This window comes from Homo sapiens, chromosome 4 (assembly GCF_000001405.40).
Source record: "Homo sapiens chromosome 4, GRCh38.p14 Primary Assembly".
In the NCBI taxonomy this organism is placed as follows: domain Eukaryota; kingdom Metazoa; phylum Chordata; class Mammalia; order Primates; family Hominidae; genus Homo; species Homo sapiens.
In genome coordinates, this window is record NC_000004.12 from 75,720,249 (window position 1) to 75,734,347 (window position 14,099).

Here is a 14,099-nt window from a genome sequence, read left to right on the forward strand (position 1 = left end):
TCATGCCTGTAATCCCAGCACTCTGGGAGGCCGAGGCGGGCGGATCACGAGATGAGGAGATCGAGACCACGGAGAAACTCCGTCTCTACCAAAAATACAAAAAATTAGCCGGGCGCGGTGGCGGGCGCCTGTAGTCCCAGCTACTCCAGAGGCTGAGGCAGGAGAATGGCATGAACCCAGGAGGCAGAGCTTGCAGTGAGCTGAGATCGCGTCACTGCACTCCAGCCTGGGCAACAGAGCGAGACTCCGTCTCAAAAAAAAAAAAAAAAATATTTTGAGGGCTAGGCGCGGTGGCTCACGCACTTTGAGAGGCTGAGGCAGGCGGATCATAAGGTCAGGAGATCGAGGCCATCCTAACTAACACGGTGAAAACCTGTCTCTACTAAAAATACAAAAAATTAGCCAGGCATGGTGGCATGTGCCTCTATTCCCAGCTACTTGGAAGGCTGAGGCAGGAGAATCGCTTGAACCCGGGAGGCCGAGGTTGCAGTGAGCCGAGATCGCGCCACTACACTCCAGCCTGGGTGACAGAGCGAGGCTCCATCTCAAAATAAATAAATAAATAAATAAATAAATAAATAAATAAATAAATAAAAATATTTTGAAGCCTGGGGCAGTTGGCTCACACCTGCAATCCCAGTATTTTGGGAGGCTGAGGCAGGAGAATAGCTTGAGGCCGGGAGTTTGACATCAGTCTGGGTAACATAGCAAGACTTCATCTCTACAAAAAAAAAAAAAAAAAAAAAATTAGCCAGGCATGATGGTGTGCACCTGTAGTCCTAGCTACTCAGGAGGCTGAGGCAGGAAGAGCTCTTGAACCCAGGAGTTCCAGGATGTATGTGCCACCACGCCGAGCTAATTTTGTATTTTTAGTAGACAACGGGGTTTCTCCATGTTGGTCAGGCTGGTCTGGAACTCCCAACTTCAGGTGATCCGTCCACCTCAGCCTCCCAAAGTGCTGGGATTACAGGCGTGAGCCACCTCGCCCAGCCTCAACTAGTCTTTTTTTTTTTTTTTTGGGACAGGGTCTCACTCCATCCTCCCAGCTGGAATGCAGTGGCACAATCATGGCTCAATGCAGCCTTGATCTCCCAGGCTCCAGCGATCCTCCCACACCCTCCCAAGTAAGTGGGACTACTGGCTGGGAATACAGGCGCATGCCACCATGCTCAGCTAATATTTTATTTTTTGTAGAGACAGGGTTTTGCCACATTGCCCAGGCTGGTGTTGAACTCCTGAGCTTAAATGATCCTCCCACCTTGGCCTCCCAAAGTGCTGGGATTATAGCCATGAGCTACGTCTTTAAAAACCTATATACGATACTGAAGGGGCTTATAACCTACCAAAATAATAAATAAATAAAAACCTATATATGATAGATTTCAAATACAAATGATCATTTATATTTATCCTCCCAAGCAGGCATAGACAACATTCCACCTTACTACCACCCCAACTAAAAAACAATCTTATGCAATTATATTTCGTTGTTTTTGCGAGTTTTCCACTAGAAAGTTAAGTGGGCCACTGAAAAAAGCAATTTGAAAAAATGAATTTCAAACCAATGAATTTTGTTCGTTGATCTATTGTCAGGTTTGGTTTAGAAAAAGATCACTCTTAATTTTGATTATATGTATTTTAATGATTCATAGGACTCTTATCCTGAATGCTTAGATTTATGAAAGCCAGAAGTATTAACAGTGCAAGTCAGGCCGTCACAATTTGTTCAAGTTTTCTCTTCCTTTATTAACTCAGGTAGTTCCTGAGCATCTACCATATTAAAGGAATTATACTAGATGATTAAAGGATGCAAACAGGAATACAACACAGTCCCTGACTTTTCTCCCTCTACAAAATCAGTAGAAGTGGATTAATATGTAACTCTTCCTCTGAAATAAGGAGTCTATTTCATGGTTGTTCTGTAGTGACAATGCCTCGGGGATCCCACCTTCATCACCTTTGCACCCAACTGTCCATCACTCCTGTGCAGGGGATGCTGCTGGGGAAGAAAACAGGTCAAATGCAGGGAAAATTCATAGTAAGCTGTTACTACTACACTCACGAAAGTATAGTAACCTACTTTACTCACTGAAGTACAGTAACCTACTGTACCCACCAAAGTTTAAAACAAAACAGGACATTTGACAAGGCTGGTGCCTTTAAACAACTTTGCTAAAATGTCAAGGCACTCTTTTTAATTATTAAATAAGAGGAGTAATAGACATTTGTGGCCCACTCCGTCTATGAGCCTCATTCCTGATGATGGGGTAGAGTGAGTTTCAGGGACAAGGTGAAGTGAGGTTCAGGGAGGGGTGAGGCTTAGGGGCTTAAGTGAAGTTCTTTGCATGCATTTCTTAGTAACAAAAATGCTGAGTAATTTACTGGTTACTTTTTTTAGGCTGCAACAAAATGCTCCCATGGAAAATGTCTACGGTAAAATGTCAAGTGTATAGCTTTAAAGCAGAGGACAATGCTTAGCGCACAGTATTTTTGGCAGTATGACCCCACCATTCTCCAAGTTGCCCAGGCTTAAAATGTTGGCACTAGGAAACACATAGCTTATGATGTCTTCCCTACAATTTCACTTTACAGATTAAAAAAAGGGAACCTCCTCTTAGTATAATATTCATATATTCTTTCAATAATTTATTCATTTATCCATCAATATCACCTTTTATGAGACAGTGGTAAGCAACAGAGATATAAAATGAATAACATAGTCCTGCCCTTAACAGTTTGGTTTAGCAAGCATTTATTCAATGTACACCATATACAGTATCAATAACTGCAAAGTGCTAACATATAGATGTGTACCTACATTTTAGGGAAAGCTTTCAAGAATGATGTCAGAGTTGAGCCTTAAGGAATTAGCAGGAGTTTGCTTGATGAAGAGAAAGGAAGGGAAGGGCATATCCAGGTCTGAGAAAAATGCCCAGAGTATGTGGGGGAGGCAGGAGCTGAAAAAGTAGGCAGGAGCTAAATCATAACAGGCCTGTATGACAAACTAAGGAGTTTGCACTTTATTCTGGACAGAATGGGGAACAACTGGAGGATTTTAAGAGGAATGACATGAACAGATGTTTTGTTGTTGTTAGTCTCACCCAAGGATGGACTGGAGATTGGACTGGAAGGAAGCCAGGGCTGAATGCAGACAAACTAATTAGGAGGCTGTTGCTGTCATCTCAATGAGAAATGATGAGAAGAACATAATCTATGTCACAGGCACAGAGGATGGAGAGCAGAACACCTATTTGAGAAATATTCTATAAATAGAAATGATAGGACATGACTATTGATTGGACATGTGTGGGTGGAAAGCCAGAGTCTAAGATTCTTCCCAGCTTCCTCTGTCTAGCTTAGGCAATTATTTGGACAGTGGTACTACTGAGCACGGCACGCACACAGTAGAAGCAGCATATTGACTTTTTTTCTTTAAGGGAGGCAGGGAAAGATGACGAGTTCAATTTTAAATGCTGAATCTGAGACCTGTGGGGAATCCAAGGGGAGAGGTGCATGAGTCAGTTAGCTAACTAGACCTGTGCTTTTTAGCCTCAAGAAATTTACAAGACTATTCCAGAAGCATGTGTACTGACAACCTCACTGCCAAAGGAACAGGCATACCAATTAGAGAAAATGACAATTTTTCATGTTAAAAAAAAAAAAACTGAAAACACAGGGGTTGAGAGTTAATAACGAAACATTATGTTACTCGCCAAACTGACACAGCAGAACAATGTATTTCTCTAGTAAGCTAAATGTAGGGTTTGATGGGTTTCCTCCTGACGACACTTGAAAATAGAGGTGTACCTGGTGTTTAGATCTAGGAATTCCTTTCAGCAGGTTTGAAGAGCAAGAGCTGAGAAATGCGCCCTCCAGTGGCAGTGGAATGAGGGGTGTCTAGTAACCCTTTTTACCACCAAACAAAGCCCTGTAAAGAAATGCAATTTACCGGGATCAGAAAGCCACAATGCTGGTACCAGTAAACCGTCAAACCAAGCGAACCCTCTCAGGCGCCAGGAAGCCTTACCTGTCACGTTGGCCAAAGGAAAATTTCACTTTCGACTCAACAAAATAAGACCTCAGATTTGATAGCTTGCAGTAAGTCCCGCTTGGCGACGATTAAACACCCTGCAAGTCGAAACGCGTAGTCTAATCAAATCCTCTCCAGCCTGCAGGGCCGGGCTTCCACCACGTGGGTGGCTGCGGCCAGCAGGATCAATCCGCGAAGGGTGGGGGTAGGAGGCGTGCCCCTGCGGTGGGAGGCGGGGTCTGCGCAGTGGGTGGGGCTTCGGCGGAACCTAGCTAAGAGGTTCCTCTCGCCTCCGCTCCCCTTTTGCCTTCAACCTTCGAGCCGCCACGTAATGCCACGTCCCCGCGCATGCGCATCTTGGCCGCTGCTGGCGGCTGTTTCCGGGCTTAGAGGGCTGGAGTGGCCGCCGAGTTGGAGGCGGTGGTGGCAGCAGTAGGAGTGTGTAGAGTGCGGGATTGGGGCCCAGGCCCTGCGGAGGGCGGGGGAAGTTGTCTTCTTTTTTTTCCGGAGGGGCCGGTAAACCTGGTGGCTGAACGGCAAGATGAATTTCCTCCGCGGGGTAATGGGGGGTCAGAGTGCCGGACCCCAGCACACAGAAGCCGAGACGGTGAGAGGAGCAGCGGGTCTGGGACTTGGGAAGGGGTCCGGGCAGGGACGGGGACGGAGCACTCGGAGACCCGAAGGTCACCTCCAGCGTCCCACCATGGAGGGGGCATCCACATGCCGCCTCCCCCTTTGCCCTCCTTCCGCTCCTGAAATCCCAGAGTTATTCAATCACGCCCCCAGCTCAGTCCCCATTGCTGCCGTTCGGCCGGACTGACGGCGGCCGCGCCCCGCAGCTCTGTAGGCCCTGAAGCTCGGGCTAGGAGAGTGGTCCGCAGGTGGTACCGCACGGGAAGGGACGGATGCGCGGCCGAGCTGGCCCGAACTGCCTCCCACGCCCCTCGGGGCCGTGGGCCCCTCCCTCTTTCTCTTTCGCTCGTCTGCACTGGCCGAGAGGAGCCTGAAGTCCTGCTCCCTCCCTCGCAGTCTGAAACTGGGGCGTTGGGGAAAACTGCGAGAAGGTTTAAAACCCAGCTGTTGGTGAGAGCATTTGGCTAAGAATAAAACGATATTCTTTGAAGGACAAATCCACCTGCTCCTGTCCCATCAACTGGAAGAGCGGTCGTTCTGCCTGGTGTTATTTGTTCAGATCCGGCTTTTCGGGCTCACCCAAATATATATCATTTGGCAAATGCTACCTTGAACGTAGTAGGGATCTTAAGCGCTCAAACTGCTTTGGGGACACGTCCACCGCTTTCTGCCTGAACTCCTAATGACATGATTTGCGGCGTTATTTAAAAAAAAAAAAAAATGGTTAGCCGCTGAAAACATTATTTAATAGTTGCTTAGATTCTAGGTTTAGAATACACTTATTTTGAAGTTTGGTTAGTGTTTAATGGAATCGAGGGTGTATGCCTTTTTGAAATAAACTTTTTATTTGAGAAGAATTTTAGATCTACATAAAAGAGACTAAGTATAACACTTTAATGGCTAACTTTGTTAATGGGATCCTGAGGGATAATATAGTAGCTTTCATTTGTCAGGCTCTTACCTTGTGCTAGGTTCTGTGCTGAGCTCTTTATATTCCACATTATGCTTTAATCGTTAACTACCCTGCAAGATAGGTGAGAGTATTCTCACCTTAAAAGTCAAAAAATGAGACTGAGAGGGGTGAAGTAGGCCGGACGCGGTGGCTCACGCCTCTAATCCCAGCACTTTGGGAGGCTGAGGCCGGCGGATCACCTGAGGTCGGGAGTTCGAGACCAGCCTGACCAACATGGAGAAACCCCGTCTCTACTAAAAATACAGAATTAGCCGGCCGTGGTGGCACATGCCTGTAATCCCAGCCACTCGGAAGGCTGAGGCAGGAGAATCGCTTGAACTCGGGAGGCGGAGGTTACGGTGAGCAGAGATCGTGCCATTGCACTCTAGCCTGGGCAACAAGAGCGAAACTCTGTCTCAAAAAAAAAAAAAAAAAAAAGGGGTGAAGTAACTTGACCAATGTCACACTGCTAATAATAGAGCCAGGATTCAACCAAGAGGTACCTTACTTCAAAGCCTTCACTTTATTGCTCATGCCTGTATTTCAATACTTTTTGGGAACTTTATATAGTATTACTAAAATTAACTGCAGCTAGTCGCAGTGACACAGGCCTATAATCCCAGCTAAGGGGATGCTAAGCCAGGAGGATCGCTTGAGCCCAGGAGTTTGAGACTAGCCTGGGCAGCATGAAGAGACTCCATCTCAAAAAAAAAAAAAATAACTGCGCAGGTCTGGTTAGAATTGTTTAAAGCATAAGATGAAAGCCGGTAAATCTGTTTCTTTCATTTGAAAATCACTTTTCTGTCTCTCACTGTAACACACGCACACATTTGGCTTCACTCATCCATTCCCACTTGGCAACAAGGCAGCCTGAGCTACCCTACTAGAAGATCATGTTCTGTCTAGATTACCAGAGTCATACCATAATCACAGCCCACCACTTTTTTGTCTGATATTTGTGTTTGTGGCACCAGGTTATGAAATATGGTTTATTACAGCTTGCTTTGTGGAGTTAGACTTTGATTTGAATCCTGGCTTTCCACCCCTGATTGGATTGGATATGTAAGAGATAGCTAATACCCTCTAAGTAAAATGAGGAAAATGCCTGCTTTTTAGGATGTAATGAAGATTAAGTGAAATAAGTAGAAAGAGCCTGGCACTTAGTAGATGTATAATGAGAGGTAATTTTTACTATGTGTGGGTTGAACGAAGAATACCCTTTCCTGTTTTTGTTATTATTGGCCTTGTCACAGTGACTTCTGTAGAAAAGATGGAATAGAATTCACAGTGTATAGGATTTTAAAGCTAGAAAGTCCCAGATAGAGCCTCTTCATTTTATAGTCACAGAGCACTAAAGTAGCTTGCACAAGGTTGAAGAGTTGGAGCTAGAACATTTTGATCTTGCCACTGTGGATGGAACAACATAGTTTTTATATCACAATTTCAAAGTGAAACTTGAGTATCACTTGCGTATGTTGTATATATAAACTGAAAGGGTCCTTTCTTGTTCTTGCCTAACTTTGAGTATGTACATTTAAAATTGGAAAAGTAATTTGTCTTCTATTTTTTCTTTTTAATCACCTCCACAATAAAGCAATTTGCCTTCTGAAAATTATTATTCTGAGGTACAGTATGAATAAAATTTGTTTCACTATTTCGTTCCACCAGGAAGTACAACAGGTAAAAGGGGTCATGGATTACTAATTTAGAAGTATTTATAGAGCATCAGTGGAGTGTATATACAATTTTAGATGTTTTAATTGATGATTTAGTCTGGCCAGGATATTTGAGTTACCAGAGCTTGGAACCCCTAGCTTCTATATTATCATTTATTATTTTGTAGTTTTTTCCATTTCTGCAAAATTAAATTTTTTTCATGGTGGCTTTCCATCTTTCTTGCTTTTTCTAACATCTTTTTTCCAATGGAAGGGCTCTTTTCTTTGTCTGAATTAGACCTGTTATTTAAATTCATCATCAGCGCCTCCCCTAATCTGTACTTTCCCCCAGCACGTTTCAGATGCTTTTTCCTTTCTGAGCTACCTTTACATTTTAACTACAGTGTGCATATATCTTATTCCTTCTAGACTCTTAAAGTGTCTTTAGGGCAGGGTTCATAATGTATTTTAATCTTTGTTTTTCCACAGTAGTAGATGCCCAGTAAATACTTGTGAAATGAATTAATTATAGTTTTATTTGAAAGAAATCACAGATCTGTAATTATAGCAACTTACGTTACTAGGTACTAAAACACTTTTTAAAGACTAGAAACTGAAGTTCTCAAATGAAGTTCATTGTGTCAAGCTTTTTACTTAAGGGATTTTTTCATATTTACTAAATGCTTTGACTGCTTTCTTGTTTTTTTTTTTCTTATTGAATTTAAGTATCTTTTAAATGTGTGAGAGTTATGTGATTGATTGTATAGTATCTAGCTTTTCATACTCTTAGTTAAGAGTAACTTTGGACTGATATTAAGATGTTCTTCAGGCCGGGGGCTCACGCCTATAATCCCAGCACTTTGGGAGGCCAAGGCAGATGGAGCACTTGAGGTCAGGAGTTTGAGACCAGCCTGGCCAAACTCCTTTCTGGAGTCAAGCACATTTTTATGGTGAAACCCTGTCTCTACTAAAAATACAAAAATTAGCTGGGCATGGTGGCACATGCCTATAATCTCAGCTACTCAGGAGGCTGAGGCAGGAGAATCGAGGCGGTGGTTGGCAGTGAGCAACCACTGAGTGGTTAAGATTGTGCCACTGCATTCCAGCCTGGGCGAGAGAGCGAGACTGTCTCAAAAAGAAAGATGTTCTTGAGAACCTGTCAAGTAGTAAATATTTTATCATAGGATAGTCAATTCTATAAAGTACTGGATATTTTAAATTCAGAATTTCATCCACATTAAACTTTTTCTGTTTTAGAGTCATGTACTTTTGTTTTTGTTTTTGTTTTGTTTTGTTTTGAGACAGAGTCTCGCTCTGTGGCCCAGGCTGGAGTGCAGTGGCGCAATCTTGGCTCACTGCAAGCTCCCCCTCCCGGGTTCACGCCATTCTTCTGCCTCAGCCTCCCAAGTAGCTGGGACTACAGGTGTCTGCCACCACACCGGCTAATTTTTGTATTTTTAGTGGAGATGGGGTTTCACCGTGTTAACCAGGATGGTCTCGATCTCCTGACTTCGTGATCCGCCTGCCTTGGCCTCCCAAAGTGCTGGAATTACAGGTGTGAGCCACGGCACCTGGCCCCAGAGTCGGGTACTTTTACATTTCATTTCTCTTTTTTACTTGACACTGATTTCTGGTGATTGAAGCCTCTTTAGCCTTGACACAGTTTGCTGGGTGCATATTATTATAGTACAAATCCTACTCATGCTTTTGTTTTTTAGTTTTCTCTTTTTCCCTAACCACTAGACCACCAGGGACTTCATGCTTTTGAATGTAAGCTTATGTGTGCTTAGTGTTATATCTGCCTTCTATCTAGCACCTTTTTTTTGGGTAGGGGGGTGGGGTACGAAGTCTCGCTCTGTCGCCCAGGCTGGAGTGCAGTGACGTAATCTCGGCTCACTGCAGCCTCCGCCTCCTGGGTTCAAGCAGTTCTCCTGGCTCAGTCTCCCGAGCAGCTGGGACTACAGGTGCACGCCACCACGCCAGGCTAATTTTTTTGTATTTTAGTAGAGACAGGGTTGCACTGTGATGCCCAGGCTGGTCTTGAACTCCTGAGCTCAGGCAGTCTGCCCGCCTCGGCCTCTCAAAGTGCTAGGATTATAGGCGTGAGCCACTGCGCCCAGCCCCCAACTTGTACCTTTTTTAAAGCTAGTTTCTTGAAAATTCCAAGCAAGTGTTAACTACATTTGATGATGAATCATAGAGGCATTTTCTGTTCTCAAGTTGGACCCCGAGACATGAAAGTTGCTAATGTCCAGAAAAAGCATACAGAATTAGAACATTGTTATGGGGTCTCTTTCCAGATCAAACTTTCATCAGCTGTCTCAGAAAGCAGAAGGGCTAACAATATAAACACAGCCATATTTTCTTTTAATAAAAATTGTTATTAAAGAGTGTGGACTTAAATTTAGACATAGTTTTCGTTTAGTCAAGCACATTTTATACCATGTTACTATAAATGTGTAGTCTGAAATTCCTATTTGGGTTGATGTATTCTACATTAATAACCAGGTCAATGTCATAACTGGAATGTGTTTTCTCTCTTGGCCTGTTTTGCAATAACAATGTCGGAGAGAACTGTAATAATGATTTGTGTTTTGGTCATTTCTATATCGAAGCACTCTTTTTAAGTAGGGCCTATTGAATACTACATGGCTTTTTGGAAGGTTAATTTTGTAGATTATATAGGGTTCATTTAAAAGTTAGAATCATTTAAATTATACATGCCGTAGCATTACCAAGGTATGCTTCAAAAAATTTGAATAGATGTCCATGAAAAAAATTTTGTCAGCAAAGAAGTGTGTGCAACGACCACTAACAAAGAAAAAACCTCTAGTATTTATGCAAGGTTTTGTAAGCAGGCACTGTGTTATAGTTTCAGATATTTTTAAAATGTAGATAAAAAGTAAGCTGTTTGCCAAATTTATCTGACCAGACCTTTTTTTTTCCTCTAGGGAACTTTGTTATCTATTATTTTGAGAAGCATACTTAGGGAAAAATTGTCCAAGAGGATATATAATTCTGATGCCTTTTTCTTTATTTTCCTTTATTTCATTAAAAACATTACTCTTGAATCTGATTAGGAAAGAATATTAGAATTCCTTATATACATTTGTTGATACCAAATACTGTTCCTCTTTCTTTTTATGTATTTACCTTTTATTATTAATATTACTGCTTTGTACTCTGCTTTTTGTCTGTTGTAGGTATAGTAAAGTTATGCTTATTATTTTTATACCTCAAGCAGAAGTGCCATAAACATTTTTTGTGTCAAAAGTTATTCACCATTAATTTGAAAACTTTTTTTTTTTTTTAAAGAGACAGGCTCACAATATGTTGCCCAGGCTGGTCTTGAACTCCTGGCCTCAAACAATCCTCCTGTCAGCTTCCCAAAGTGCTGGGATTACAGAAAAACTTTTGTGGTGTTAGATTTTGAGATGCTAGCATTTGTGATAGGTTATTTGGTAGACATGTTTCATTATGACCCCTTGCTTAAAACGATGTCCTTTTGAAAAGCATAGTTCATTTATGGGAAAGAGCATGGAGAATAAATGAAGCAGTATATTACTTGGCTGACTTAAGGTAACTATAATGGAAATGGATTCATTGGATTTGTCTACAAAGAGACTTGTGTTTGATTTTTTAATGTTCCCACATCTCTTTTTATAGATTATAATAATTTAGGTCATATGAAGATAAGATTTGCTTTTGCTGTTTTAATAAAGTCTTCTCAGTAACAGAGTTAAATTTAAAACAAATTTCTGGGCCAGGCCTGGTGGCTCACGCCTGTAATCCCAGCACTTTGGTAGGCTGAGGCGGGTGGATCACCTGAGGTCAGGAGTTTGAGACCAGCCTGGCCAACATGACGAAACCCTGTCTCTGCTAAAAATACAAAAATTAGCTGGACATGGTGGCAGGTGCCTGTAATCCCAGCTACTAGGGAGGCTGAGGCAGGAGAATCACTTGAACCCACGAGGTGGAGGTTACAATGAGCCAAGATCGCACCACTGCACTCTAGCCTGGGCAATGGAGTGAGACTCCGTCTCAAAAAAAAAAAAAAATGACTTTTGTAATCTAAAACAATAATATTTTTATTTCATCTAAAACATAAGTGAATTGACTATTAGCATGAATTATTTGTCTTACAGTTAGGGAAATTCTGTTTTAGGAAGGTACAACTATGTTTTAAATTTCAAGGTAAGATTATATCATAAAATTAAATCAATATTAGGTGCTTGACAAATATTTGTTGGATAAATGATTGATTGATTAGAGTTAGCATTTTAATTGCCATTCCTGTTCTTTATTTTTTCCTGTCAGTTAAGTAGTTACTGAATACTTAAAAAAAAGAATTGTGAAAAAATACTGCAAGCTGTATTACACTAGTGTCCTTTAATTTTTTTGCTTTTATATTTTTATAAACGATTAAACGTAAATTAGTATTGTTTCATAAGCAAATGTGTTTATGAAAATAAACATTTCTCTAAACAATATTTTTTCCCCATAACTTTAAAGTTTTAGAAGGTTACATGTGCAAGTTGTTACATGGGTAAATTGCCTGTTGCTAAGGTTTGATGTATAACCATCACCCAGGTAGTGAGGATGGTACCTGATGGGTAGTTTCTTAACTCTCGCCCCCTCTCCCACCTTCCCCCCGTTGTTGTCCCCAGTGTTGACTGCTCCCATCTTTAGGTCCGTGCTTACTCATTGTTTAGCTCCCACTTGTAAGTGAGGAAATGCAGTATTTGGTTTTCTGTTCCTATATTAATTCGCTTAGGATAATGGCTACCAGCTGCATCTATGTTGCTGCAAAGGGCATGATTTTATTCTTTTTCATGTCGACATAGTATTCCATGGCATATATGTACTGCATTTTCTTTATCCAGTCCACTATTGATGGACACCTAGGTTGACTCCACATCTTTGCAGTTGTGAATAGTGCTCCAGTGAATATGCAAGTGCATATGGCTTTTTGATAGAATGATTTATTTTTCTTTATTTTCCCTTATTTCATTAAAAACATTATAATTGAAATGACTATTAGCATGGATTATTTTAGTCTTACAATAAATAGTCATAGTTACTGGACGCAGTGGCTCAAGCCTGTAATCCCAGCACTTTGGGAGGCTGAGGCGGGCAGATCACGAGGTGAGGAGATCAAGACCATCCTGGCCAACATGGTGAAACCCCGTCTCTACTAAAAATACAAAAATTAGCTGGGCATGGTGGCACCTGTGCCTGTAATCCCAGCTACTTGGGAAGCTGAGGCAGGAGAATCACTTGAACCAGGGAGTTGGAGGTTGCAGTGAGCCAAGATCGCGCCACTGCACTCCAGCCTGGCGACAGAGCGAGATTCCATCTAAAAAAAAAAAAAAAAAAAAAAGTCATAGTTGGGGGAGTTCTGTTTTAGGAATGTTTTAAGCTTCATGAAGGTAAGGTTATATCATAAAATCACGTCTGTAGGGCCGGGTGCGGTGGCTCATGCCTATAATCTTAGCACTTTGGGAGGCCGAGGCGGGCAGATTACAAGGTCAGGAGTTCGAGACCAGCCTGGCCAATATGGTGAAACCCCGTCTCTACTACAAATACAAAAATTAGCCGGGCGTGGTGGCGGGCACCTGTAGTCCCAGCTACTTGGGAGGCTGAGGCAGGAGAATAGCTTGAACCCAGGAGGCAGAGGTTGCAGTGAGCCGAGATCACGCCACTGCAGTCCAGCCTGGGCAACACAGTGAGACTCTGTCTCAAAAAAAAAATTAAAAAAAATAAATTAAGTCTGTATTAGCTGCATGACAAATATTTGTTGAAAAAATACAGTAGTGAGACTGCTGGGTCGAATGGTAGTTCTGTTTTAAGTTCTTTGAGAGATATCCCAACTGCTCTCTACAGTGACTGAACTAAAATTACATTCCCACCAACAGTATATAGCATTCCCTTTTCTCTATAACCTCTCTAACATCTGTTTTTTGTTTGTTTGTTTTGTCTTTTTAATAATAGTCATTCTGACTGGTGGGAGATGGTATTTCACTGTGGTTTTGACTTGCATTTGTCAGATGATTTAGTGGTGTGGAACATTTTTCCATATATTTCTTGCCTATGTATATGTATTGTTTGGAGAAGTGTCTGTTCATGTCCTTTGCCCATTTTTTAAGAGTTTTTGGTTTTTGCCTGTTGAATTAAGTTCCTTACAGATTCTGAATATTAGACCTTTGTCAGATGCATGGTTTGCAGATGTTTTCTCCCAGGTTATAAGTTGTTTGTTTACTCTGTTGATAGTTTCTTTTGCTGTGCAGAAGCTCTTTAGTATAATTAGGTCCCACTTGTCAATTTTTGTTTTTGTCACAATTGCTTTTGGGCACTTAGTCATAAATTCTTTGCCAAGGCCAATGTCCAGGATGATATCTCCTAGATTTTCTTCGAGGATTTTTTTTTTTTTTTTTTTTTTTTTTGAGTAGGAGTCTGGCCCTGTCACCCAGGCTGGAGTGAGTGCAATGGTGCGATTGGCTCACTGCAACCTCTGCCTCCCGGATTCAAGCGATTCTCCTGCTTCAGCCTCCCAAGTAGCTGGGACTACAGATGCACACCACCACACCCAGATAATTTTTGTATTTTTAGTAGAGACAGGGTTTCACCATGTTGGCCAGGATGGTCTCGATCTCCTGACCTCGTGATCCTCCCACCTTGACCTCCCAAAGTGCTGGGATTACAGGCGTAAGCCACCATGCCCAGCCTCTTCTCGGCTTTTTATAGTTTTAGGTCTTATATTTATGTCTTTAATCCATCTTGAGTTAATTTTTGTATATGGTAAAAGGTAAGGGCCCAGTTTCATTCTTCT

The 14,099-nt window shown here is 42.0% G+C and overlaps 2 protein-coding genes across 14 annotated transcripts in view, besides 5 other annotated features; one reads left to right on the plus strand and one right to left on the minus strand.

The window, feature by feature from the left end:
- Positions 1-4,189, minus strand: part of G3BP2 (G3BP stress granule assembly factor 2) — an 81,652-nt gene extending 77,463 nt beyond the window's left edge. For 6 of the 10 annotated variants that reach the window (NM_001400016.1, NM_001400005.1, NM_001400013.1 and 3 more), the window contains exons 1-2: positions 4,028-4,189; positions 3,808-3,928 (exon numbers count right to left, since the gene is read on the minus strand). The gene's annotated coding sequence lies outside the window, so the exon portion shown is untranslated. The remainder of the gene's footprint in view (positions 1-3,807; positions 3,929-4,027) is intronic. The other 4 variants (NM_001400017.1, NM_001400004.1, NM_001400014.1 and 1 more) reach the window with 1 other exon arrangement.
- Positions 3,519-4,439: an enhancer, noted in NCBI's record as "NANOG-H3K27ac-H3K4me1 hESC enhancer chr4:76648951-76649871 (GRCh37/hg19 assembly coordinates)". NCBI's record gives its function as "activates a minimal SCP1, AML or CMV promoter by ChIP-STARR-seq in primed H9 embryonic stem cells {active_cell/tissue: H9 hESC(primed)}" and the evidence as "EXISTENCE:reporter gene assay evidence [ECO:0000049][PMID:30033119]".
- Positions 4,116-4,285: a silencer, noted in NCBI's record as "silent region_15482". NCBI's record gives its function as "represses an Ori minimal core promoter by ATAC-STARR-seq in GM12878 lymphoblastoid cells {active_cell/tissue: GM12878}" and the evidence as "EXISTENCE:reporter gene assay evidence [ECO:0000049][PMID:35858748]".
- USO1 (USO1 vesicle transport factor) overlaps positions 4,329-14,099 on the plus strand; it is an 89,710-nt gene continuing 79,939 nt past the window's right edge. For all 4 annotated transcript variants that reach the window (NM_001290049.2, XM_006714397.4, XM_006714396.5 and 1 more), the window contains exon 1: positions 4,329-4,637. In NM_001290049.2, coding sequence (NP_001276978.1) covers positions 4,572-4,637 — 66 coding nt within the window. In that variant the 5' untranslated portion in view covers positions 4,329-4,571. The remainder of the gene's footprint in view (positions 4,638-14,099) is intronic.
- Positions 4,440-5,359: an enhancer, noted in NCBI's record as "NANOG-H3K27ac-H3K4me1 hESC enhancer chr4:76649872-76650791 (GRCh37/hg19 assembly coordinates)". NCBI's record gives its function as "activates a minimal SCP1, AML or CMV promoter by ChIP-STARR-seq in primed H9 embryonic stem cells {active_cell/tissue: H9 hESC(primed)}" and the evidence as "EXISTENCE:reporter gene assay evidence [ECO:0000049][PMID:30033119]".
- Positions 4,456-4,535: an enhancer, noted in NCBI's record as "active region_21622". NCBI's record gives its function as "activates an Ori minimal core promoter by ATAC-STARR-seq in GM12878 lymphoblastoid cells {active_cell/tissue: GM12878}" and the evidence as "EXISTENCE:reporter gene assay evidence [ECO:0000049][PMID:35858748]".
- Positions 4,620-4,797: a silencer, noted in NCBI's record as "fragment chr4:76650052-76650229 (GRCh37/hg19 assembly coordinates)". NCBI's record gives its function as "represses an EF-1alpha promoter that drives an FKBP-Casp9 reporter gene in an ReSE screen in phorbol 12-myristate 13-acetate-treated (for megakaryocytic differentiation) K562 erythroleukemia cells {active_cell/tissue: K562(+PMA)}" and the evidence as "EXISTENCE:reporter gene assay evidence [ECO:0000049][PMID:32094911]".